The 26620-nt window shown below is 45.6% G+C and overlaps 2 pseudogenes; both read right to left on the bottom strand.

Moving 5' to 3' along the window:
- Positions 12937-16161, bottom strand: TNPO1P2 (transportin 1 pseudogene 2; annotated as a pseudogene).
- KRT16P4 (keratin 16 pseudogene 4) lies at positions 25668-26251 on the bottom strand (annotated as a pseudogene).

Here is a 26620-nt window from a genome sequence, read left to right as displayed (position 1 = left end):
TGCTTGTGGGGAAGGGTGGCTTCAACTCATTTTACATATAGAGAAGCTGAGGCTCAGAGTCTGAGGGACATGCCCCAGGTCACACAGCTAATTCGTGGCAGCCTGAGCTATATGAAGATTCTCAGAATCTTCAAGAAGTATTTCTCCTCTTTAAATTTCTATTCTTCATGTTAAAACATAATTATGTAGAAGGGAATATTTTGCATGAAAAACACTATAATGAAGATTTTTATTCTAGAGTATGGGGTGCCCAGGAGCTTCTGATCCTCCCCCTCAGTGAATCTCTCTTTCTTCTCTTCTCCATCCTTATTTTGTGAGCTTTAGGATGGGGAGAGAAGTATTGGACATAATAGAACATTTCAAGTGACATGGGAGTGGGAAGGAACATATGGCATGAACTGCCTTTAATTGGCTTCAGCACCTAGTTAGGGGAAATAATTGGCTGAAACAGAGAATAACAGGATAGGCTGCAGAGGGGAGAGGGAGCCATGAAATAAACTTACCTGAAGTTGACCAGGTCCCAACGATGTGCTGGCGAGAAGGCCCAGAACTCAAGCTGGGGATGGGCGGGTAAGGACCATACAGGCTCGAGGGGATGGCAGGTGCCCCAGGGCCATACGTAAGTCTGCACCTCTCTTCCTTCCTGTGTTCTGCCTAGATGCACTAGAATTTGCAGACGAACTCCTTTGAGATGTTCCCATAGACTGAGGCCGTGTGTGTCGTCTGCACTCACCATCCCATTATGTTCTGGATCAAGTAGAATTTGACCAAGTTAAGGAGTAGACAGTACAAGGGGAGCAGAAAGGAGAGAAAAGAAGGGAAATTCTTTGCAATCCTCTCGAATACCAGGAATATTTTCATCACGTCACGTCATTTGTAGCAATCACCAATTGATTGGGATATGGAACAACTGGAACTATCATTCATAGCAGACTTGAGTGTAAAATAATCCAACTTAGAAAAATGGGCAGGGCGTGGTGGCTCATGCCTGTAATCCCAGCCCTTTGGGAGGCTGAAGTGGGAGGATCACTTGAGTCCAAGAAGTTGAGACCAGCCTGGTCAAGATAGGAAGACCCTGTCTCTACATATAATTTAAAAGGCAAATTAGCCAGGTGTGGTGGTGCACACCTGTGGTCCCAGCTATGTGGGAGGCTGAGGTGGGAGGCTCACTTGAGCCCAGGAGGCCGAGGCTGCAGTGAACCCTCATCACGCCACTGCACTCCAGCCTAGGTAACAGAGCAAGACTCTGTCTCAAAAAATAAAAAAAATAAAGAGAAAGAAAAACTGCTTGGTGAGTTGTAATATAGTCAAATATCTACTTCAAAGTTGCTGGCTTTTCTACTTCTGAAAAATTACCCAAGAGAAAGGAAAACATATTTGTCTGTTTTTAAAAGCTTTACTCGTCATAGCCCCAGGCTGGTAACAATGCAAATAGTCACCAACAGAAGAAGGGAGAAATGAATTGTGGTTTTCACACTACAGAGTGGCCCTCAGCAATAAAAAGGAGCTAGGCCACAGGAAACGTCAATGAGCCTTGCAACTGAGCGGAAGAAGCCAGATCCAAACAGACACATGCTGTGAGAATTCCATTCGAGTCAAGTTGAACAACAGGCTAGAGTGGCGTTACCCTTGGGAGTCACTGACTGGGAGGGGCACGAAGGAGTCTTCGAGAGGCTGGAAATGTTCTGGATCTGGTTCTGGGTGGTGGTCCCACAGGTGTTTACATCCATTAACAACAGGCTGAGGCTGGGTGCAGCAGCTGACACCTGTAATTCAGCACTTTGGGAGACTGAGGCAGGAGGATTGCTTGAGTCCGGGAGTTTGAGACAAGCCTGGGCAGCATAGCAAGACCTTCTGTGTACTAAAAATCAAAAAAATTAGTGAGGCATGGTGGTGCATGCCTGTAGTCCCAGCTACAGGGAGGCTGAGGCAGGAGTATTGCTTGAGCCTGGGAGGCTGAGGCCACAGTGAGCTATGATCGTGCCACTGCATTGCAGGTTGAGTGACAGAGCAAGACCCTGTCTCAAAACAAAACAAAACAAAACAAAACTCAAACAGAAAACCAGGATCTGTACATTTTATTCTACCTAGACAATATCGCCATAAAATACTGCTAAAAGAAAAAATCTCCCAGAGCCCAAGGAGACACAGGCACAGCTAAGAGTTCCAGCAGTTTAGCACCTTAGCATCACCTTGAGCCTTGGAGGTGAGTCACAGTTAAGCAGCTTCACTAGTGAGTCCAGCCCATAAAGGAGGGCCCTCTGCTCCATGCCCTGTCTGGAGGGGCCCCAGTAAGGTCATACCCAAAGGCTGACATGTTTTTAGACTAATCAACACAGTAGGGAGGCACTTCGAGGCACAGTGCCAGGCCACTGAGAGTTCTGACTTCGGCACCCTTCAGTCACCACAATCCATTCCCAGTGGTTAGCTCTGGTCTTCAGGAGACTAGAAGCAGCCCTCGGGAATGTTCGTGCTCAGAGCTCTAGTGTTCAAAGTCACAGACCCTTCTCAGAGGCTCTCTCTTCTCTGCCCTATAGACTGAGGGAGTCTGCCACCTCACACTCATTAGGATGCCTATGATTAAAAAAAAAATCCAGAAAATAACAACTGTTGGCCAGAATGTGAGTAAACTGGAACCCTGTGAAAACAGCGTGGCTGTTCCTCAAAAACCTCATCATAGAATTACTATATGATCCAGCAATTCCACTTCTGGGTATATCCCCCAAATAACCAAAAGCAGGAACTCAAAGAGACATGTGAACACCCACGTTTGTAGCAGCATCATTCACAAAAGCCAAGAGGTGAAAGCAACACGTGTCCATCAACGGATGAGTGGTCAGCAAAATGTGGGCCAGACATACAATTCAGCCCTAAAAAGGAAGGAAATTCTGGCATATGCCACAACATGGATGGTCCTTGAGAACATTAAGTGAAATAAAACAGCCATAAAAGAACAAGCACTGTAGGCCGGGTGCGGTGGCTCACACCTGTAATCCCAGCACTTTGGGAGGCCAAGGTGGGAAAATCACCTGAGGTCAGGAGTTCAAGACCAGCCTGGCCAACATGGTGAAATCCCGTCTCTATTAAAATTACAAAAAGTAGCCAGGCGCGGTGATGAGTGCCTGTAGTCCCAGCTACTCGGGAGGCTGAAGCAGGAGAATCGCTTGAACCTGGGAGGCAGAGGTTGCAGTGAGCTGAGGTCACACCACTGCACTCCAGCCTGGGCAACAAAATGAGACTCTGTCTCAAAAAAAAAAAAAAAAGAAAAAGAAAAAGCACTGTATGATTTTACTTGTCTGAGATACCTAGAGTGGCCAGAATCAACAAAAGAAAGTAGAATGGTGGTTAGGGGCTGGTAGGAGGGGGAATGAAGACTTATAATTTAATAGGCATAGAGTTCTGGTTTTACAAGATGAAAAGAGTTTTGCGGATGGATGGTAGTGATAATTGTATAACAGCATGAATGTTCTTAATACCACAGGTCTACCACTTAATATTGGCTCTTGGCTAAGATCTTAGCTGAGGCCATTGACTGGAACACCTGCAAGTGGCTTTTCCACATGGCTTGGGCTTCCCCACAATATGGTGGCTGGAGTCCACGGGTGAGCATTCCCAGCGAGAGCCAGGTGGAACTTACATCCCTTTTATAACCTAGCCTCAGAAGCCATCCAGTGCCATTTCCACCACATTCTATTTGTTGAGGCAATCACATGAGCACCACCCAGGCTCAAGGGGAGGGGAAAGTGACCTCACCTCTAGACAGGAGGCAGCAAGAGGTTGAAAGAGCACCTGGGACCAGGAATATTTGGAAAATTCAATGCCTGCCGCAGACAATAAGTAAGTGCTGGACTCCTCTGGGCACTGGGGTACAGAGAGAATTGGACATAGTCCCAGCCTTAAGCATCTCATATTCCAAAGGGTAAGATGGATATACAGCTGGGCTACATGGCTTCAAGGAGGAAGTGCACACAGATTTTTTTTTTTTTTTTTTGAGACAGAGTCTGTCTCTGTCGCCCAGGCTGGAGTGCAATGGCGCCATCTCAGCTCACTGCAAGATCCCCCTCCAGGGTTCAAGGATTCTCCTGCCTCAGCCTCCTGAGTAGCTGGGATTACAGGCACCCACCACCACACCCGGCTACTTTTTTGTATTTTTAGTACAGACAAGCTTTCACCATATTGGCCAGGTTGATCTCGAACTTCTGACCTCAGGTGATCCACCCACCTCGGCCTCCCAAAATGCTGGGATTACAGGTGTGAGCCACCGTGCCCGGCCAAGATTTTTTGTTAAAGTTAATATAGTTGGTTATGTGCTGGACATCATTCTAGGTGTCTTACAATTAACTTTATGTCAGTTTTATGAAGCAGGCACAAATAATAATCCCCATTCTACCTGGAAAGAAACAAAAGCACGGAGAGGTGAAGCAACTTGCCCACAGTCACACAGCGGCAAAGTGCCAGAGTGGGGACTCAGCCCGGGCAGTCCCGCAATGGAGTCTGTGCTGCTCACCACGGCACCACCCCACCTCTCTTCTCAGATGCCCCCTCATGGGATGGACCTACTTTCACGGACCTCAACGTCTTTGCAGGGAACATGGGCCTGAGTGACTGCACTCTGTCCCTAGGGAGTGAGGAGGGTTCTGCCAAGTGGTTTCATTTTGATCACTGTTTTCTGTGCCTGGGGGGTGGGAAGCCCAGAATGGCACAGCTCAGCTCCTAGTCCTATCAACTCACTCTCATCCAGGGCTGATTCCAGAGGGGTGGCAGGGAATGAGGGGTGGGGGTTGCTCTGCTGAACAGGAAGGAACACTGAGTCCATTCTCTTTTGTATCTGGGGATCCCCAGAGAAGAATGCAACATGGTATGAAAGAGTGGAACGCCAGCTTCTAGGGGAGCCCCAGTGTCCAACAAGGGCACACACTTTGGGAGTCAGCCAGGCCTGGCCCCAATTCCAAGCTCCTTCACTTCCAGGCGGGATGATGCTGTGCAGGCTACTTCACTGCAGTAACCCCCAGTTTTCCCTTCTGTACATGGGGGTGATATTTTCTCACATGACTTCCCTGATGTGAAATGAGAGAACACATGTAAAGCACCTAGCATGATCCTGCCACGTAGTAGGCAGTCAGTGACCATCTCTCCCTTTGGCCAGGCTTCCTGGCATGTGCCGGACCTAGACCCTGTCCCCCAAGGAATCTGACCAACACACTGCAGTGTGGGCTTTCACCTCCCTTGTTTCTACACACTCTACCACCAGTGATGTCACCTAAGATTATTTTATTATTTTGGCAGCCATATCCCTCAGTGGTTCTCATCAACTAAAATCCTACAGTTCTTTCCACAGGTAGCAGCTGCTTCTCAGTGTCCTCCCAGCGGCCATCATAAATGACCTGGCTGCAGTGATAGTTGTGCTGTTACAGAAATATGGAAAATCCCAGGCCACTTCCTGCACACCTCAGGACCTGTTTCCTTCCACACTAAAGGCTTGCTCAATACCCCAACGAAGGAGAGATGGGTAAGATTCAGAACCCAGGCCTCCCGCACCCTCCCTCTGATGAGCCCTATTCCTGAGGCATATTGTCCAGCCATTTGCTCAAGGGAGAAAGACAGTAGATGCTCAGTTCCTACTTGGTGATGAGAAGGTGACTGAGAAGGGTGTGTCTACTTCTTCAGTGCGGCTCTGCCTCCCAGCCTAGAAACTGACTGAAATAACAACCAACAATTTTAAAGGTGGGATGTGGGCGGGAAGTGGAAATCTACATTCACACTGGAAACTAGAGTGTTGTCACGGGCCGTCCACATGCTGCGAGCATTGAACGTGATGCGTTGCCAGAGCTCACGTGGGCTGGAAAGAAGGCATCACCGGGTCACTGCAATCAATGCACAACTTCCCTTCTGGGAATGGACTTAGTGATCCTGGAAGGGAGGTGCAGATCCTGGCTGGATGAGGGCAGCCATCAGGCTTTGAACATTCACTTTATGTGCTAAGTGCTTCACACACTTCATTGATTTGGTCATCACCACAAGCCTGCCAAGTAGCAAGATCCCACTTCCCTTATCAACAAGGAGACGGAGGTTCCAGGAGGTGCAGGAACCCGTAGCGGGGCTGAGGGCTGACTTGGTGTCCCCCATGGACTCAGGGGACTGGGGAAAGGGGAGTTAGTGTTTAATGGGAGTTTCATTTGGAGATGAAAAGGTTCTGGAGATGGATGGTGGTGATGGTTGCATAACAGCGTGAATGTACTTAATGCTAGTAATTTGTGCATTTCCAAATGGTTTAAATGATAACTTTTATATTCTGTACACTTTACCACATAAAAAAGGTGGGGGGAGGAAGGGAATCACTGCTAGGTTGCTGTGGTAACTCTGCAAGTGTATATAAAGGTATCAGGAAGAAAAAGCTAAAATACTCACTTACAGTCTCCCATTGTTTTGCTCCAGAATCCACACACCTGCTCTGTCTCTGCAATGTACATAATTAAAAGAATGCAGGTGCTCGGCCTGATTGAATTGAGCCTGCTTCCCCCTCAACTGCTATTATATTCCAGATGGGATAATGTGGTCAACCCAAAGTTCTGAGTCTGAAGCCTGCCCTTTTTGTGTTAAAAGTGAGATCAGACCCAGGCGTGGTGGTGTGCACTTGTAGTCCCAGCTGCTTGGGAGGCTGGGGCAGGAGGATCGCTTGAGCTTAGGAGTTCCACACAGTAGCATGCTATGATTATGTCTGTGAATAGCCACTGCAGTCCAGTCTGGGTGACAGAAACAGACCCGCATCTCTTAAAAAAAAAAAATGTGGCCAGACATGGTGGTTCACACCTGTAATCCCAGCACTTTGGGAGGCTGAGGAGGGTGGATCATGAGGTCGGGAGTTCAAGACCAACCTGGCCAACATAGTGAAACCCCGTCTCTACTAAAAATACAAAAATTAGCCAGGCATGGTGGCAGGCACCTGTAATCCCATCTATTTGGGAGGCTGAGGTAGGAGAATCACTTGAACCCAGGAGGCGGAGGTTGCAGTGAGCCATTGCACTCCAGCCAGGGCAACAATGCAAGACTCTGTCTCAAAAAAAAAAAAAAAATGCAATCAACACCGGTGGAGAGGAGGTACTGGCATCAACCTGAGCCTTTCTCTTTTAAAAAAATTATTTATTTATTTATTTATTTAATTTATTTTACAGACAGGGTCACACTATGTTGTGCAGGCTGGTCTCAAACTCCTGGGCTCAAGCGATCCTCCAACCTCAGTGTCCCAAAGTGCTGAGATTACAGGCTTGAGCCACCGCACCTGGCCTAGCCTTTCTTCTTGAGGTCATCAGAAGGGTTGAAAGACACTTGAAAATAACATCCTCACTGTGTGATGCCAGGGTATTTAATCCTGCATCTGTGAAGGTAAAGTGTTCTAGCAGACTAGCAGACAGGGTCCGGTTCTCACTGGGCAGCCCTGTTGAGGAGAGCAGGAACTGCAGGGGCTGGGGCTGTCCAATGACCAAGAGAAGAACAATTAGGCAGAGCGCACAGAGCTCAGAGCCCTGCATGTGAGCATGTTGTTCCCCACGTCCCCACCCCAACTCTTGTTGCTTCTCGCTGCACTGTTGGGGGAGACCCCCTTTCTACTGAAGCTCACTGACCCCATGTCAAGCTCCCATCATGGACTCTGGGCCTTGGGGAGAGCCACCGTGGTCTGTGGCGGGTCAGAGCATGTAACTAGAGCACACAGCGTGTGGCAGCCGAAAGCTGGAGGGTGAACATACAGTTGACACTTCCTGATGCTGGGCGTAGCAGCTTGGAATCAGCTCCAGATGCCTCCCAGTGACAGTGGAGCTGTCAGAACCTGCAACTTGGTGGCCTGCAGCCAATTCCAGTCTGCAAACTTGTTTTGTTTGTCCTATAAACTGTTTTAAAAATGTAAGCCAACTTCTGAAAATTGGGAGATTTCACATAAAATTCCACACTTCTAGCATCTCTTAAAAAAAAAAAAAAAAGCTGATGCGGTGGCTCACGCCTGTAATCCCAGCACTTTGGGAGGCCCAGGTGGGCAGATCACTTGAGGTCAGGAGTTTGAAACCAGCCTGGCCAACATGGTGAAACCTGGACTCTACTAAAAATACACAAATTAGCTGGGCTTGGTGGTGTACTCCGGTAATCCCAGCTATTTGGGAGGCTGAGGGAGGAGAATTGCTTGAACCCAGGAGGTGGAAGTTGCAGTGAGCTGAGACGACGCCATTGCATTCCAGCCTTGGCAACAAGAACACTCCGTCTCAAAACAAAACAAACAAACAAACAAAAAAACAAACCAAAGACAGAAGAAGTACAATATAACTTTTTAAATTTAATTTAATTTCACAAAGACAGAATTGAATAATGCAACTTATAAAGAATTTTTTTAGAGAACCTCCCTTTTATTAATTTATTTCTGAGATGGGGTTTCACTGTGTTGCCAAGGCTGGAGTGCAGTGGCGTGATCTCGGCTCACTGCAACCTACGCCTCCTGGATTCAAGTGATTCTCTTGCCTCAGCCTCCCAACTAGCTGGGATTACAGCCACCCACCACCATGCCTGGCTAATTATTTTTGTATTTTTAGTAGAGACGGGTTTTCACCATGTTGGCCAGGCTGGTCTCGAACTCCTGATCTCAGGTGATCTGCCCGCCTGGACCTCCCAAAGGGCTGGGATTACCGGCGTGAGCCACCGCACCTGGCCTACTTTTTCTGTCTTTGAATGTCATAGACATTCAAAGGTTGCCAGTGAGAGGCTGGTGTGAAGTGACTCAACAGGACATCTCAAGCCACAGTTCCCGAAGGGATAGCAATGGTGCCGTGAGGGAGGGGTTGTGGTGTCTTCGTTTCTGTCAATGGGGGGAATCTGCTCTCAGCCCCACACCAGTGGGGGAGCTTCCATCTCTACAAAAGGGAGTGGAATAAAAGAATATGCACATCCCAGAATGGCAGTCCCAGGAGAATTCCTGAGGAGAAGGCAGAAAAGGCCCAATGAGCAGGAAACAGGGAGAAACAGGAAGCCACAGGGCAGCCTCCCCAGAGAGAGGGTCCCACTCCTCTCCTGTCCCCTCCCCACCCATCTGGGCAGACCTCATCCCATCTCAGCATAAAGCTCCAACAGCTCTGACCACTCCTGCTCACCGTGACCCATTCTCCACACTGTAGCCCCAGTGGTCTCTCTACCCACGAATGTCTAGTGCCTCCCTCTTCAACCTTCCAGACTCTGTCCTCCTTCATTGTGGATGGAAACCAGGCAGGGCCAGACAGGGCCAGCTGCATGGGCCTACGACCTGTGCAGTCACAGAGGGCCCCGGTGCTAAGGGCCCCACACTTGGTTTAATGCTCTGCTATAACTGCCTTGACATCCTTCATGACACATGACCAAGAGATCCACATTTCCATTTTCGGTGGGCTCTGCAAATATGTAGCCACTTCTGGTACCCAGCCTCACCCACTGGGGATTCATCTTTAAGTCCAGGCTTCGAGGCTCAGGAATGTAAATGAAGTCACATTTCTGTTTAATAACAAAATTACCAGACTTGAAACTCTCACCTCCTTAATCACAGTCTTCAGCCAGGCCCTATTCCTGAGGGTGTCTGGGCCTTCTGGGCCTCCCTTTTGGGAGCCAAGTCTGTTGCACAAACCTGCTGGCTTGGCAGTGTGCCTCAGCCAGCCCAATGGTGCCAGGCTCTGGGCAGCAGACTCAGTGCAGTGCCCAGTCCTCCCCTTGAGCAGGTGGCATCCTACAGTGCCCAGGCCACCTGGCTGAGGTGGGCTCCAAGTTTCTCTGTAGATTTTCTCTCCTGATAGCTAAGGCCATCAGGCAAGATCTGACAATTCTTTAGAAGGTTTAGAGAGAAGATTCTCATGTTTAGCTAACATGCGCTGAGCAGCTCCTACATGCAAGGTGCTGCTCTAAGCACTTTTAGCGCACATTCCAGGAACCTCACCATCACGCTATGAGGGAAGTACTGTTCATGACTGCTGCCTAGTTATTACAAGGAAACTGACGTTCAGGAAGATTAACTGCACCTCACTGGCCACTCCTTCTCATCTTCCTGCTGGGTTTACCTCATTGTCTAACCTCTAAGTGCAGAGGCCCTGGGCAGGCCTCGATTCTCTCCTCCTTTCAGTCCACCTTCTCACCCCTGTTGGTCTTCTGCAACCTCACTCAGCCACCTAATCTATCAAATGACTCTGAACTCCAGATTCCACCTGCCTCTCAGCATCTCTGCGTGGATTTCTAACAGACAAGCTCAAACTCCGTGCATCCAGAACAGAGCTCCTGATCCCCCATCCCCAACTTCCTGCTTCTGTAGGCTTCCCCCATCTTAGACACTTGCTTGACCAAAACCACTGGAATCATTCTTAATTCTTCTCTACCCGAAATCTAATTCATTACCAAATACTGTCAGCTAGACTTTAAAAATATATGCACACACAAAACATTATATGCAGATGCTCCTTGACTTATGATGGGGTTACATCCCAACAAACCCGTCGTAGGCTGAAAATAGGTTAAAAATGCATCTAATACACAACCTATGAAACATCATAGCTTAGCCTAGCCTACTTTACACGTGCTCAGAACACATACATTAGCCTACAGTTGAGCAACATCATCTAACACGAAGCTTATTTTATAATAAAGTGGTGACTATCTTACATAATTTATGGAATACTTTACTGAAAGTGAAAAACAGAATGGTTTTATGGGTACTTGGCATGATTTCTGCTGCATGTATATGGCTTTCATACCACAGTAAAGTCAAAAATTGTAGGTTGAACCATTGTAAATCAGGAAATGTCTGTATGTATAGCTCTATAGATAGATAGATCACAATAAAATTGATAAATTAGACTTCTTCAAAATTCAAAACTTTTGCACTTCCAAAGACATCATTAAGAGAGTGAAAATAGGCTGGGTGTGGTGGCTCACACCTGTAATCCCAGCACTTTGGGAGCCCGAGGTGGGCAGATCTCTTGAGGCCAGGAATTTGAGACCAGCCATGGCCAACATGGCAAAACCCCATCTCCACTAAAAATTCAAAAATTAGCCAGGCATAGTGGCACACGCCTATAATCCCAGTTACTCCAGAGGGTGAGGCATGAGAATTGCTTGAACCCAGGAGGCCGAGGTTGCAGTGAGATGAGATCGTGCTACTGCACTCCAGCCTGGACGACAGAGCAATACTTTGTCTCAAATAAATAAATTAATTAAAAAAAGAAGACTCCTAGGTATCTGGCCTGGGCAGCAGGGTGGATGGTAGCACTGTTTACTGAGATGAAGATTAAAACAGGAGCAGATTGGCGGGTGGCTATAAGCCAGAGTTGAGTTTTTGATGTGAGATGCCTATCAGATGAAAGTGCCAAGGAGGCAGTTATATTCCCAAGTCTGTGCTTAGAGGGAGACCAAGCAGGAGAGAGGACGTGGGAGGGGCACATGAAGATGCTTTACACAGCCAGGAACATGGATGGTGTCACAGGAGACAGTGTAGACAGAGAAGAGATGAGGAAGCAGGACCACCCTCATCAGGACTGAGCCTGTGGGATTCCAGTTTCTCTTTATGAATATTTTCTTTCTCCTCTCCTCTCCTCTCCTTTCTCTTTCTTTCTTTCTCTTTCTTTCTTTCCTTCCTTCCTTCCTTCCTTCCTTCTCTTTCTTTCTTTCTTTCTTCTTTCCTTCCTTCTTTTTTTTTGACAAGGTCTTGCTTGTTGCCAAAATTGGAGTGCAGTGGCAAGATCTCGGCTCACTGAAGCCTTGACTTCCCAGGCTCAAGCGATCCTCCCACCTCAGCCTCCCAAGTGGCTGGGACCACAGGTGCGCAGCACCAGGCCTGACTAATTTCTTATTTTTCGTAGAGATGGGGTCTTGCTATGTTGCCCAGGCTGCTCTCCAACTCCTAGATCCAAGTGATCTTCCCACCTTGGCCTCCAAAGTGCTAGGATTACAGGCGTGAGCCACTGTGCTGGGGCTTGTAAATATTTATTGAGTGAATGAGACATTCTTCAGCCCTAAGTAAAGTTGATGGCCTCCTAAGCGATTAGATTAGAAACTCCCACAGTCAGATGTGGGCAGAAGACAAGGAGGCAGCCTCATAGGCTGAGAGGAGCTGCCAGTGAGGACAAAGAAAGCCTGCTGCACTGGGATGAACCCCACACTCCTTGGCAGAGCGTAGGCTACCCTGGGCCATCTGCCTGCCGCCTTCCTCTCCACTCTCATCTCTTCCTGCCATCCTTGTTTCCTTTTTGGGCCAATTTTAGTATTTTCCCTAATGCATTCTATTGCTTCAGACCTTCACACATGCTGTCCCCTCTCTAGGATTACAAAAGTCACATGAACTCATTATCAGTAAGTCTAACACAATGGAAACACACGACAGAGTAGAAGCGGGCCAGCACCCCTGCTCTCCATTAGTAAGCATTTGCGCTATGCGTTCGCAGATGTGTTTTCTGCGCATATTCTAATGCACTCTCTCTCACACACATGCATGCCAGATTTTCCTCCCTGCCTCCAAAATGGGAAATACCTCCTTTAATGCACGCTTTCTCCTCTTAATGCATTACAGACTCTTTCCACATACATAGACAGCACATACTTGCTTATGCTTATATTTCAGTACAAATGTACATACAGTACATTTCAGTACACAGAGAGGTGCCTTGTTCTTTAAGATACATCTTTACAGTTTGGTTGTATGGATTAATCACAATATATTTAAACAACTGCATTAATAAAGCATTCCCCCATCCCTTTCTTTCTTTCTTTCTTTCTTTTTTTAAACAGGAGTCTTGCTCTGTTGCCCAGGCTGGAGTGCCATGGCATGATATCAACTCACTGTAACCTTCACCTCCCAGGTTCAAGTGATCCTCCCACCTAAGCCTCCCAAGTAGCTGGGATTACAGGTGCCCTCCACCATGCCTAGATTTTTTGTGTGTGTGCATGTATTTTTTTAATAGAGATGTATTTTTTTCACCATGTTGGTCAGGCTGGTCTCAAACTCCTGACCTGAACTGATCCACCTGCCTTAGCCTCCCAAAGTGCTAGGATTACAGGTATGAGCCACTGTGCCCGGCCACACTTTCTTTCTTTTTCTTCTTTTTTATTCCCCCTCTTCACGTCCACTGTGGAGTTGTAACTGGAGACATATTTCCACCCACAAAGCCTCCAGATGTTAAAACGTTTCCCAACGTCAACTTAATACAGTGATGGCAACACCTCCCTCCCGCCCCTCCCAGTAGGGTTGAGATTATACTGTATTCCCTACTGGTTTACCCTTCCCCCCATGAAGGGTAGCATTTTCCCTGGGTGCAGAGGCTCCCTCATAGTCTCCAAGACTGAAGGACCCCTAATTTTGGGACTGCAGCTTAAGTGTATTACATTAAACACCATAAAAAGCTACAAGATGCTCTTTTAAGGGAAGAGGAAACTGGTCAGAGAAATGCCTCCCATTTTCATTGCCAATTTGATTTTTAAATCCATGAAGGATCTTACAGAACATGTCTCTGAGATAATCTTTTGGGTTAATCCATGATGCAACAGCATCACAAAAAAATATAAAATCTTGGATTATGCCATGGGGATTCACACTGATCATGATGCAGATTCCACGGAATGCTGAATCCTTTTCTCATTGTCTCTTATGTTTCTCAGAGAGGTGCACCAGAGTCTCGTAAACTGCTGTAGCATGGGGACCACCTCTTGAGGACAAACATAACCAAGACAACCAATTGTTACTGCTGTATTCTTTAGCAACGTCTTTGGTGTGTTGGGTCTGTTAATGATTTCTACAAGCTGGTGCAACACCATAGGGATATAAGGCTGCATCTCTATACCCATTTGAATGGAGATTTCTCCAATTGCTCATGTGTCATTGTTGCAGACTGAAATGAATTCTGGAGTTAGGTTGGTTCCCAATATTGGCATGAAATCAGCTACACAAGGCTTAACATGCTGAAAGCAAGCTTTTGTGAGGTCACTTAACAGGGCAAAAGAACTCTGTCGAACTTCCGGCATTTTATCCTGCATGCACTGATATGTTAGTGTTAGGATGTTACTTCGGGCTACCAGTTGTTCAATATTGCCTCCAAGTCCTTCAGCCAGGCCACTCAGTAAATCAAGAGCCACTATCATAAAATCTTTATCTGGAGCTTCATATTGATCTGGTTGAGCATTGCTTAGTATGGCTTGTGCAAGAGTCTTCTGTACTAGGTTTACCCAATGCTGATACATAGGTTCACAGTATGGAAGGAAGCCAGACTGCAGCACCGTGGCAACTGAAAATGGACACTCAGGTAAAGGGAAAAGATCTTTATCTTCATCCTTTAACATGTTCCGTTTCTGGATCAGTAGAGGCATTAGCATTTGAATATATTCTGGTTTGTTTAAATGATGTCCTACTGAATCTGCTAATGTCCCTCTGGCATTGTAAAGAATGAGCAGGTTCTTATGCTGGTATTTACTAAATGCAAAGACCAGGGTATCAAGTATATAAGCAAGGTAAGCAACAAGTTCTGTACAAGCCTCCTCTTCTAGGGTAGCAAAGGCACTGCAGGCAGCTTCTGGTACTCTCTTGTTGCTATCCAGGATGCCTTTTAGCAACTCTGTCATTAATGACTTCAGGTACGTGTCTGGTGGCTGGCTGACTACCCAGTGTGCATAGCGGCTAAGAGTCCAGCATGTTATGGAACGGACAAGAGCCTTTTTATCAGAGAAGCACTGAATAAGGTGAGGAATAAGCTCAGGCAAGCAAGGAATCATGCCCTGCATGCAAACCTTCAGCAACTGTTCCTAAACCCAAGATGGCTAATTCTTTAACAACCCATTCATGATGAAAAAGTAATTCTTTCAAAAGGGGCAATATATATGGCAGCAGTTCATCATGATGCACGTTTGCAAGAACATCTAGGGCAGCAACAGATCATTTCCTTAGATTCCAGTCAGAAATTGTATCATCATCATCAATTTCATTATCATCATCATCTTCCTCTTCAATTCCATCTTCATCATGCTGCTGAGCCACTGTCCTTGATCGGTGAAAACGTGGCCATATATCCTGTTCACTATCAGGAATCATTTCGTCTTCTTCAACATCACCCTTAGGTAGGATAATATCTATATCTGAGTACTTCATGCCATTCACTAACACAGGAATCAACCTGGGAAGATGCCTTACGAATACATCTTTGCATACTTGCTGTTCAGCTAAAGTTAGCCAAAATTCACAGGCTTCTAAAGCCACATTTTCATCTTGATCTTGAGTCCTCTGTAGCATATACTCAACTATATTACGCATGTGAGGGAGCAGGCGATCCACTCAAACTTCGAACAACATCACAAGTGCTCGGCACACATTTTTCCATACCTCTGGCTCACCAGCCAATGCAAAGAGATTTCTCAATAAAAGAATCAATGTGCAACATCAGAGCTTGAGTCCTGATGATAAACTGATTGACACATACAACAGCGTGAGACCTTATTTTTGGACTACTGTGCTTGAAGAACTGTAAAAATTTGGGAATCCTGATGTTGAGAGGACAATCTAAAACATCACTATCTAAAATCTCAAAAGAATCTTCACAAATCTTCTGAAGGGTGCCAAATGCTCCCTCACAGGTGGTGTAATCGTCAGAATCCAACAGGCTACAGAGTTTTGGTAAGAGGTCAGGCCAATTCTGCAATTCTCTCTTGGAGGCTATAGCTGTGATCGAAATACCAACAGTGGCTCTAATCAGAAGAGAGGAGTCACCAATATTATTTAAACATTCACTTTTAATGAAGTTTGTTGCACCATTTGGGAAGTTCTGAAAGTGTGCTTTCACATTATTCTTCAAGATGAGACCACGCAATGATCTTGTGGGTTCATCTTCAGATTTTAATTTTGTAAGAACAAAAATCAAGTAGTTGCTAAAGTCTGGATATTGATTAAGTTGTTCCAGTTTCTAGAATTGTTGCACAGTTCTCTGGATGGTGGTGTCTGGGGACTGGGACTCCTTCAATAGCTGCAGGATTTGCTGAAGCCCTTGCTTATCAGATTTCCATTCGTACTCCACCTTGGTTTGCTGGAGTGCCCCAAAGGAAGTCTCGGACAGTGAAACCCAGTGGAACTGCTCCTGGCAGCCCAGCCGCCGACGTCTGCTGCTGCTGCCACCACGGCTACAGAGCGCAAGGAGCCAACCAGACTGAGTCCGATTTGATGTGTATCCTTGTTTGATGCCCAGGTTGGAAGCATGTCACAATGAGTCAACTAAGCAATAACTAGAATATTATTGATTCCAGAAAGCTTTCTCTTATTTTAACTCTGTATTTCAGAACTTCAAGGTCTACGAATAGTTACCCACCTATAAAATGAATTCAATTTAACTAAATCCTAGTATTGTGAAGAATTAGTTTTTCGCCATTTCTGTTTACTCTTATACTAACTGAAAGACTGTCTCACCACAATGCTTGATGTAAATGGTCTGATCGGTTAGTGACAACCTCATTAATTATTGCAGCTTGCAAAGGGATTGATTTTTAAATTTTTACTTATTAATTATATACGTGCTTATTTGTTTTCTCATTTACTTGCTTTCTTATTTATTTGGTTATTATTTACTTACTTTCCTGTTGTTTTAAAAGAGGATTCTAATTAGATATTATCTAAGTGATTTTGCCAAGTTCTTACATTTTGTTGGTTTAAATTGCTTTAAGATATATGCTTGAAATCATGTTTATTCTTGAAATGTGTGCCATTTGCAGTGTGTGTGTGAAGGGAAATGAGTTATTTTTTAAAGGGAAATGAGTTATTTTTTAAAAAGAGAATTATTTAGATATGGTTTTAGTGATTCCTCAGCATGATAACTGCTGATGAAATGTAGCTTATTGTTTTCAGCTAGTTTACATTGGTCTTGAGACAAACAGAATTTTGTTTCTTAATTACAGGCTCTAGATGAGTTTATAGAACACCTCAGGGCTGTTATCAAGTACTTAACATACGAAGGATAACTCCATTTGATTATATATTTCATACCCCAAAGGAAAATAAGTTTAAATTTAATTTTAACTAGATGATGCCGTCGGTATGGAGTCACTCTGTCGTTGTGTCCACACTGGCCAGGAGGCGTTTTAATGAATGGTGTTTGTTTATTCAGTCTTAGCCAAATGAGCAAGGACCTGGAGACTGGGCAATTTGAGAAGATGTTTAGGAACCACTGGCTTTTCGCTGTTGACGCCACTATGTAAACTAAGGCTGACAGTGGGTAGGGAATGTGTGTGGAATTCCTGTGTGATTCACTGTAACTGTGGTGTGCTGAATGCGTGCTTAAGCTAGTGTCAGCATCGTCTTCCTGTAAGTTAAAGATCCCTTCTGTGAGCAGGACTCCTGAGGACTCAGGAATGTTGTATTTTGAAATCTGCTTTAGAGGATATTTTAAGACTTTTAATAAAAGAAAGATGACTAATGTATAAGGGGACTTAAGGGGAAGAAACACCCTTTCCTCTATAGGGTAGCATATTTGGGATTATAATTTTTGTTTTCTTTAGGTTGGTTTCATTTTCAAGTGAATCCAGAAAACACTGTTTTCTTTGACAATATTGCTATAAAATTACCATAATATGAGGATATGTTGTCAGTCTCAAATATATAAAATGACCAATTTCAGTGAGCATTTATCCTTTTAAGAAAACCTACTCTATTAAAATCCAATTTTGTGCAAAAAGTGGGAAATAAATGGAGACGTAAGTGTTTGCTTTATGAGACTATTTGATTCATGTAAATAGAAAATAGTTTTATTACATGTAAAATATGATTTAAATTGGTCAAAATGTCATTTCCAGAAAGCATACCTTTTAAGCCAGCACTCATTACATAGAACAAGGATTCTATCTGTGTGCCACAAACCACTTCAAATAATTTTCTTTATATGTAATGACATATAAAGAAATATATGTAATGACATGTTCCTTAGAGTCCATCTCAACTCCAATTCCTCAGGAACATTGTCTTTGAGTACAAATTATAATGAGTTTATTTTCTAACTAAAGTATAGTAGTTAGACTAGTTTATTAGCTAGTTTGGTTCTGACCTCTGTGGTTGAGAACAGATACAAGACAAATGCTATTATATCTTCAGATCTTATAGAAAGCAGATAGTGGAAATGATGAAGTGTACCTGGCTGGCTTTCTGACGATTTGTGTGAAATGCTTGGCTTTGTAATTTTACATTTCTTTCTAGTCTGATGCCTTGAGTTTATTTAGATAGAAATGTATTTCTACATGGTTATCTGATTTTTAAAATGCTGCTTCACAGTTGTATACTACTTAAGGTATGTAGCTTTATATTTAATCTAAGTTGGAATTGGGTTTTTGTTATTGTCATTTGGTACATTGGTCAACACTTAATAAATGTTTAACTTTTTGTTTTGAGTTAATTATAGATTTGCATGCAGTTGTAAGAAATAATACAGAGAGGCCGGGTGTGGTGGCTTATGCCTGTGATTCCAGTTACCTGGGAGGCTGAGGCGGGAGGATCCCTTGAAGCCCAGGAGTTCAAAGATGTAGTGAGCTGTGATGGTGCCACTGCACTCCAGCCTGGGTGACAGTGAGACCCCATCTCTACAAAGAAAAACAAAAAGAAATAATACAAAGAAATCTCACGTACGGGCCTACCAAATTTTATTGTGTTTGCTTTATTGCACTTTGCAGATATTATTTTTTTACAAACTGAAGGTTGGTGGCAACCCTGTGTCAAGCAAGTCTTGCGGTGCTGTTTTTCTAACAGCATATGCTCACTTTGTGTCTCTGTGTTCCATTTCAGTAACAGTATTTTAGATGTTTTCATTATTATCATATCTGTCATAGCGATCAGCGATCTTTGATGTTGCTATTGTAATTGTTTACAACCTCAGTGATATAAGAGGATGAACTTAATCAATGTTGTGTATATGTCTTTTTTTTTTTTTTTAAGACAGGGTCTGTCTCTGTCACCCAGGCTGGAGTGCAGTGGCATAGTCACAGCTCACTGCAACCTCCACCTTCCGGTGGAAGATGCCATTTAAGACTTTCATCCTAGAAACGAGAAGTCAGTGCCTGGCTTCAAAGCTTCAAAGGACAGCTGACTGTCTTCTTAGGGGCTAACATAGCTGGTGATGACTTTAAAGTGAAGCCGTTGTTTGTTTACCATCCCAGAAATGCTACAGCCCTTAAGAATTATGTTCAATCTACTCTGCCTGTGCTCTGTACACTTAACAGCAAAGCCTGGAAGACATCTGTTTACAGCATGATTTGCTGAATATTTGAAGCCCACTGTGGAGACCTACTGCTCAGAAAAAAAAGAATTCTTTCAAAATATTATTTCTTTTTGACAACACACCTGGTTACTCAAGAGCTCCGATGGAGATGTACAAGGAGAGGAATGTTGTTTTCACGCCTGCCAACACAGCATGCATTGTGAAGCCCGTGGTTCAAGGAGCGATTTTGACTTTCAAGTCTTATTAGTTAAGAAATACATTTTGTAAGGCTAAAGCTGTCATAGATAGTGATTCTTCTGACGGATCTGTGCAAAGTAAATGGAAAGCGTTGTGGAAAGGAGTTACCATTCTAGATACCATTAAGAACATTCATGAGGAGGTCAGAATATCAACATCAACAGGAGTTTGGAAGAAATTGATTCCAACCACCCTGGATGACTTTGAGGGGTTCAAGCCTTCAGTGGAGAAAGGAACGGCAGATGTGGCAGAACTCGCAAGAAAACTAGAATTAGAAGTGGAGCCTGAAGATGTGACCGAATTGCAATAAGCTCATGAGAAAACGCGAACAGGTGAGGAGTTGATTTTAACAGATGAGCAAAGAAAGTGGTTTCTTGAGATGGATTCTACTGGTGAGGATGCTGTAAACGTTGTTGAAACGACAACAAAGGATTCAGAAGAGGGTATAAACTTAGTTGATAAAGCAGCAAAGAGGTTTGAGAGGACTGACCCCAATTCTGAAAGAAACTACTGGAGGCAAAATGCTACCAAACAGCATCATATGGCACAGAGAAATCTCTCTAGGCCCCAGTTGTTTCTAAGTGAAGAGAGTTTTAGAATCCATCTCATATATTTGTTGCTAGGATGAAGTTAAAACAAGTAGGATATTTAGGATAGGACGTGGCTCATAACAAGCTCTCCATGAATATTAGCTATCGTTATTCTTAACAAAATTACCAGATTAATAGATTGTCTGCTCTGCTCCTTTGCACTAAATTTAGTAGTTTATTTCATTTATTTTATCTTCATTAAGGCAGCTGGCACAAAATTAGTTTGTTAATCTGGGCAATAGAATTCTTTTTTTTTTCTTTTCTTTTCTTTTTTTTTTTTGAGATGGAGTGTCTCTCTGTTGCCCATGCTGGAGTGCAGTGGCACCATCTCACCTTACTGCAACCTCCACCTCCTGGGTTCGAGAGATTCTCCTGCCTCAGCCTCCTGAGTAGCTGGGACTACAGGCACCCACCACCATGCCCAGCTATTTTTCTATTTTTAGTAGAGACATGGTTTCACCGTGTTGGCCAGGATGGTGTTGATCACTTGAACTCAGGTGATCTACCTGCCTCGGCCTCCCAAAGTGCTGGGATTACAGGGCAAGAGCCACCACACCAGGCCAATGGGCATGTTTTTAACAGTTATTCTCCTAGCACTCATCATTTTATGTTTTCTGTCTTAGCATAAATAAGTTTCAGTCTTACTGATGTGTGTTAAACTGTTCCCCCATTTATACTTCAGTTGGTTTATGGTTTTTAATAATGTAGATACACATGTAAGGAATATTTATATGTTCACTTTTAAAACGTTGTGATAGGCCAGGCGCAGTGGCTCATGCCTATAATCCTAGCACTTTGGGAGACTGAGGCGGGCGCATTGCCTGAGCTAAGGAGTTCAAGACCAGCCTGGGCAACACAGTGAAACCCCGTCTCTACTAAAATATAAAAAAAATTAGCCACGCGTGGCGGCGTGCACATGTAGTCCAGCTACTCGGGAGGCTGAGGCAAAAGAATTGCTTGAACCCAGGAGGCGGGAGGTTGCAGTGAGCCAAGATCGCACCACCGCACTTCAGCCGGGGAAACAGAGTGAGACTCCGTCTCTCTTTTTTTTTTTTTTTGAGACGGAGTCTTGCTCTGTGGCCCCGGCTGGAGTGCAGTGGCGTGATCTCGGCTCACTGCAAGCTCCGCCTCTCTAGTTCACGCCATTCTCCTGCCTCAGCCTCCTGAGTAGCTGGGACTACAGGCGCCCGCCACCACACCCAGCTAATTTTTTGTATTTTTAGTAGAGACGGGGTTTCACCGTGTTAGCCAGGATGGTCTCGATCTCCTGACCTCGTGATCCACCCGCCTCGCCTCCCAAAGTGCTGGGATTACAGGCGTGAGCCACCGCACCCGGCCAACTCCGTCTCTTAAAAAAAACAACAACAACAAAAAACTGTGATAAGGTCAGGCGTGGTGGCTCATGCCTGTAATCCTAGCACTTTGGGAGGCTGAGGCAGCCGGATCACCTGAGTTCAGGAGTTTGAAACCAGCCTGGCCAACACGGTGAAACTGTCTCTACTAAGAAAAATACAAAAATCAGGGGCTGGGCACGGTGGCTCACGCCTGTAAACCCAGCACTTTGGGAGGCCAAGGTGGGCGGATCACGAGGTCAGGAGATCGAGACCATCCTGGCTAAGACGGTGAAACCCCGTCTCTACTAATACAAAAAATTAGCCGGGGATGGTTGCGGGTGCCTGTAGTCCCAGGTACTCGGGAGGCTGAGGCAGGAGAATGGCGTGAACCCGGGAGGCGGAGCTTGCAGTAGGCGGAGATCGTGCCACTGCACTCCGGCCTGGGCGACCAGCGAGAGTCTGTCTCAAAAAAAAAAAAAAGAAAGAAAAATACAAAAATTAGCCAGTTGTGATGGCAAGTGCCCGTAATACCAGCTACTCTGCAGGCTGAGGCACCAGAATAGCTTGAATCCGGGAGGCGGAGGTTGCAGTGAGCCGAGATCGCACCACTGCACTCCAGACTGAGGGACAAAGTGAGACTCAGTCTCAAAAAAAAAAAAAAAAAAGAAAAGAAAAGAAAAAAAAGGAAGCAAGCTGGGTATGTGCGTTTAGAGGTGTTGTACCTTTTCAGCATTGTAAATGAATAGAGATGAGTGGCAATAGTTACTTTGGTCCATAGATTTTTGGTATCTTAACTAGTTTTGGATCTCTTCCACTAAAGGGATTGCCTGTTGCACGTTGTTAGGAATGTAAATACTGAAGGCAAACTGCCTGGGTTTGAATTTTGTTCTGTCCCTTGCACCCTGCCTGGGTTCAAATACTAGCTCTGCTTATGAAGTTCTTTTATGGTGATGACCTTTGAGCAAATGTCTTAGCTTCTGCTTTCCCAAGTAAATGGACACAATAGTTGCTACCTTGTGAAAGATTCATGTAATTGACCAGTGTTTACCAAGCAGCATCAGTGTTCAGTTTCAGTCATTGGTGATTCTGCAGTTGGATTGTGAGGTGGTGCTGGGGTGGGGGGTGGTGTGTGTGTAGCACTTAATTGCACGCGGAAAGGAAAAGATACTTTTTATAACCGAGAGGCAGCTTTTCTCTGCTTTTGTGTCAAAAGGGAAGAAGGGAGTTTGGAGAGGGAAACCAATTCTCTTTAATACTAAGCTCTCTTCTTCAAAATCAGAGGTAGATAGAATGTGTAATAATTTACAGAATTTCTAGACTTCAACAATCTGATTTTTTTAAGTATATTTTTATTTTTTCAGGTTGAGACTGAGCTACAGTTAATCTGTGGCGAGGTGCTGGATGCACTGGACAAACACCTCACTCCAGTAGCTGACACTGGCAAGTCCAAGGTTTTCTATTAGGAAATGTAGGTTCTATACTAGAAAGGAAAATGTAAGATTAAAAGTTGGCCTTTTTAGAATCATGACTTTCTTCTATGTAGGTTTCCAACTTTTATTTAAAAATAATTGTTTAATGTTAGAAGGATAGTCAATGTTGGGATAAAAAGATGGTCAGGCTATTATAAAAAATGCATTAGCTTTTGCTTTACCTATTTATATTCTTTTGCTTTCATGGGACCTATCTCATTCCCCTCCCCTAAACGGCCACACATTTCACAGTGCTGGCTGAAAGTTTCATGTAGAAATTTTATTTTATGATTAATACACTTGTGCCATTTCTTGGAACCACTTGCTTGTTTAATTCTAGTCTATCAAGTGATAATTTTCTTGATATTTAGAGGCTCCTCAGTTAATTTCTGTGGGATTTTTCGTTATATTTAATAAGGAAAATAATAGGAAATAGCTAAGAAAAAAAGAAACAAAGCCAATTATTCCTGAGCGTGTTTAAAATTATTGAAGTACACTTGTTAATTTTTAGTATAGAACCTACATTTCATAATAGAAAACCTTGGACTTGCCAGTGTTAGCTGCTGGAATAAGGTGTTTGTCCAGTACATTCAGAATGTCGCCACAGATTAACTTTAGCTCAGTCTCAACCTGAAAAAATAAAAATGAATTTTAAAAAATTCAGATTGTTGAAGTCTAGAAATTCTGTAAGTTATTACACATTCTATGTACCTCTGATTTTGAGGAAGAGAGCTTAGTATTGAACAGAATTAGTTTCCCTCTCCAAACTCCATTCCTCCCTTTTGACACAAAAGCAGAGAAAAGCTGCCTCTGGGTCATCAAAAGTATCTTTTCCTTTCTGCGTGCAATTAAGTGCTACACACACACACCACCCCCACCCCAACACCCCATCACAGTCCAACTGCAGAATCACCAATGACTGAAACTGAACACTGATGCTACTTGGTAAACACTGGTCAATTACATGAATCTTTCACAAGGTAGCAACTATTGTGTCCATTTACTTGGGAAAACAGAAGCTAAGACATTTGCTCAAAGATCATCACCTTAAAAGAACTTAATAAGCAGAGCTAGGATTTGAAGCCAGGCAGGGTGCAAGGGACAGAACAAAATTCAAACCCAGGCAGTTTGCCTTCAGTACTTATATTCCCCAAATGCAGGCCCTCCATTTGGAGAGTGGATGGAGTAGGAGAGAAGGGCTGCAAGGACCCAGATAGGCAGACAGAGGAACAGAGAGGGAACCAAAGACCCTACTTGCAAGGTGTCCCCAGAGGCAAAGGTATCGTCCACGGGGGACATGGGGACCTGGAGGCTGCACAAGGACAGCTTTGCTCTGGTCATGGGAGCCCTCTTGCTTCCCACACCTTCAACTTACTCCCCATTGCTGTCTGTCATTGATCCCCAGGTGGGGCAAGTGAGGGACCTGAGTCAGCATGTGGCTGGCTGCTGGGAGAGGGAGCACCCGCTGAGTCACGGCTCCTCCCCTGGAGCCTCCATGCGCCATCTAGGCAGGTGTGCACTGCCCACTGGTGCAGGGCTGTGGGTACCTGCACCTGTCTGTCAACACTGATTCTTTCTCATACAACAGGCACTTGCCACCACTCTGCCCAGCCAGACCCTATCAGACCACAGTGAGGGGATGGAGTGGGCCCGCATAGGTGCCTCCACCTGAGTCTAGGCACCCCAGGCTTGTGTCTGCTGGGACACACCTAGCAGGGAGGCTGAGAGCACCGGCTTCGGAGCCAGGCAGGTCATAGTGTAAAGCCGGATTCTTCCACTTATTTGGGGAAAGTTGCTTCCCCTCTCTGAACCTGTTTCCTCACTGTAAATTCAGATTCATCCTTTATTGAGCACCTACTATGTGCCAGGCATTGGGTTGAGTGCTGGCGATAAAGTAATGAGCAAGCCCTTATCTTGATGAACAGTTACGGAATAAAATAGACCTGCAGAAATAAACACGCAATTCACAACTGAGGTGAGCATGGTTGGTGGGGGAATGGAGAGCACATAATAAAGGGTGTGGCATGGTTGGGGGCATCAGTGACCTTCTCCCTGAGAAAGAGACACTTGAGTGAAGGGGGAGGAGAAGTGAGCCAGGAGAAGGAAAAAGGGGAGGGGCATACAGCATGTGCAAATGTCCTGAGGTGGAAACAAGCAAAGTGACTGCCAGGGCAGGAGTCCTGTGTGGCTAAAGGGCAGTGAGTTAAGTCAAGCAAAGGATTTTCGGTGGGAGCAGGGAGGAGGGGGCTGGAGCCAGGGCACAAGCCTGCCAGGCTCCCTTTGTGCAGGGCACGTCAAGGGGCCACACTGATTGTCTCTGCAGGCTCTCCATGACTGCCTGGCTGTGGGGAGGGACCAGACTGTACTAAGGCTTATGGGCGGCGGCAGCCACAGCCCAGACTAGTGAGCTAATGAGCGGTTTGGATGTCTTGCCTGCTCCCGTTAGAGCCTCGCTCCTCCCCTGTGCTGGAAGGTAGGACACAAGGGCCCCAGCCTTGGCTCTGCCATTAATTTGCTATGTGACCTGCAGCTGGTCACAGCACCTCTCAAAGCTTCAACTGCTTCCTCTGTAAAATGTAAGGACAGGACTCACTGATCTCACTTGATCTGAGGATTTGACATCAGAAGGGGATGAGCAGGCTGGGGAAGAGAGAGCATCCTCTCACTGATCAGCTCTTAGGGCATCCAAGACCTCGAAAGAAGGGATCTGGGGTGGGCTCTGTCCTATAGAGAAATCTTAAGGTGTCAGTGTCCTGGGGCATCTATTGTTCCCAGAAGGAGCTAGCTGGAATGGCACCTTCTGCTGCCCATTCACCCACCTTGTTCCTCAGATCCTCGATGGTCTTGAAGTAGGGACTGTAGTCTTTGATCTCAGCAGGCCGCTGCCACTGGTACCAGTCATGGATCTTCACCTCCAGGTCAGCGTTGGCCTCCTCCAGGGCACGCGCCTTGTCCAGGTAGGAGACCAGGCTGTCGTTGAGGTTCTGCATGGTCACCTTCTCACTGCCCACCAGAAGCCCATCACCACCAGCAAAGCCACCACCCAAGCCACCACCGAAGCCAGCACCAAGGCCATCACCATATCCTCCCCCAAAGCCACTAGCAAAGCTGCTGCTGCTGCTGAAGCTACCGCCATAGCCGCCCCCCAGCCTGTAGGCTCCCCCAGAGGAGAAGCAGGAGGAGGAGACAGACAGGCCACCCCTGTAGGTGCTGGTGGCGCGGCAGGACCCTCCGGCCAGGACGGAGGAGATGCGGCTGGAGCCGCCCCCGATGCCGCCCCCGATGCCGCAGGAGCCCTTCATGGAGCTGGAGGAGGTGAACTGGCGGCTGCAGGTGCTCATGGTGCTGAGGAGGGAGGTGAGTGAGCGAGCAGTTGGCTGAGTGAAGAGAAGGTGCTCAGGTAAATTGGAAAGGGATGCGAGTGCTTTATACTCATGGGTAGGGGGCGGGCCTGGCACTTTCCATTCCCCTTGGCTTTCATCACCCACAGGCTAGTGACAACTCCCAGCCAGGTCCCTCCTCTCCTCCGCCTCATCATGTCTGTCATATTTTACTGGAAACTCATTGTTTGGGGTGTTTTGGGCTTTCTTGTCCCGCCAGGCATGATTCACAGGGGGAGGTATGGGCCTGCAGGCTACACTTTCCCATGGGGCCCCGGGAGTCCCAGCCCTCAGGAACCCGCACACTGGGCTCAGCCAGGGTGACAGAGAGCAGGGCCTCTGCACCTTAAACCTGGTGACCTGCTAGCTCTCCATGAACTGGATGGGCCT

This window comes from Homo sapiens, chromosome 17 (assembly GCF_000001405.40).
Source record: "Homo sapiens chromosome 17, GRCh38.p14 Primary Assembly".
In the NCBI taxonomy this organism is placed as follows: Eukaryota; Metazoa; Chordata; class Mammalia; order Primates; family Hominidae; genus Homo; species Homo sapiens.
This window is presented reverse-complemented; position numbering and strand designations above follow the sequence as displayed.